Genomic DNA, 1229 nt, shown 5'->3' on the forward strand with positions numbered 1-1229 from the left:
CACAAGTGAACACAGGCACATGAACACACAACACGTACACATGCATACACACGTGAACACAGGTGCAGGCACACACACGTGTGACACGTGAACACAGGCGCATGCACACACACGGGCACACACTCACGTTTATACACATGTGAACACAGGTGCATGCACACAGGCACAGACGTGCACACACTCACATATTTATACACATTTGAACACAGGTGCATGCACACACACAGGTACACACTCACATATGCATACACACGTGAACACAGGTGCATGCACACACATGCACACATGTGCACACACTTGTACACACATGAACACAGGTGCACACACAGGCACACACATGCACACACTGGTACACATGTGAAAACAGGCAGATGCACAGAGGCATGTGCTCACACGTGCATACACACTTGAACACAGGCAATGAACCTACACAGACATACACTGACACGTGTGTGCACACGTGAACACAGGCACACACACTCATATGTGTGTACACATGTGAACATAGTTGCATGCACACACAGGCACACACTCACTTATGTGTGCACACATGAACACAGGCACATGCACACGGTAGAAGAACAGCAGTGGAAGGGCTGGTGAGCCTGCTCGTTTGGCAAGCATACTCTATAGATGAAGTGAAAAGAAAGTAGTGGGAGGGCACATGAGCTGGCAGGAGGTCTCTTGTGAGCCGTTTCCTTTCTTCTCTAATAATAGGAATGCTGGCTTACAGGCAGTTTTACCCCCTGGGATGGCAAAGCCCTCTCTGTAGTTATTCTTAGAGATGCTGGTTATATTGGCCGAGGGAAGCTTGCTGATCGGAAAACACAGGGCTGAGAAACCTCTGGAAACTCGTTGCAGCTCGGATCTGAAGGTTGAGTGCTAAGAGTCCACAGAGATCAAGCTACATGCAATGATTGTGCTTGCAGGAAAGGCAGGGTACTGTGGAATTGGTGTCAGAGGATTCGAAATCAGCTTCTAACTAGCTCTCTGGGTTTGAACAAGCCACTCCCCACCTCTATCTTAACAGGAATTTTTAAACACCCGGTAGTAAGTCTTGAAAAGTGGTCAGCACAGTTCCTGGCACATAGCAAAGCCTAAATAAACACTGACGCCCATGATTGTAGACATGGTACTGTGCTAAGTGATTGAGCAGTGAACAGTCCTCCAGAGGAGCACACCGTTGAACATAGAAACAAGAGCAAGCACGACCATAGAGGCACATACAA

The 1229-nt window shown here is 48.1% G+C and overlaps 1 annotated feature.

The window, feature by feature from the left end:
• Positions 307-980: an enhancer, noted in NCBI's record as "NANOG-H3K4me1 hESC enhancer chr4:10965707-10966380 (GRCh37/hg19 assembly coordinates)". NCBI's record gives its function as "activates a minimal SCP1, AML or CMV promoter by ChIP-STARR-seq in naive H9 embryonic stem cells {active_cell/tissue: H9 hESC(naive)}" and the evidence as "EXISTENCE:reporter gene assay evidence [ECO:0000049][PMID:30033119]".

Source organism: Homo sapiens, chromosome 4, assembly GCF_000001405.40.
Source record: "Homo sapiens chromosome 4, GRCh38.p14 Primary Assembly".
Lineage (NCBI taxonomy): Eukaryota > Metazoa > Chordata > Mammalia > Primates > Hominidae > Homo > Homo sapiens.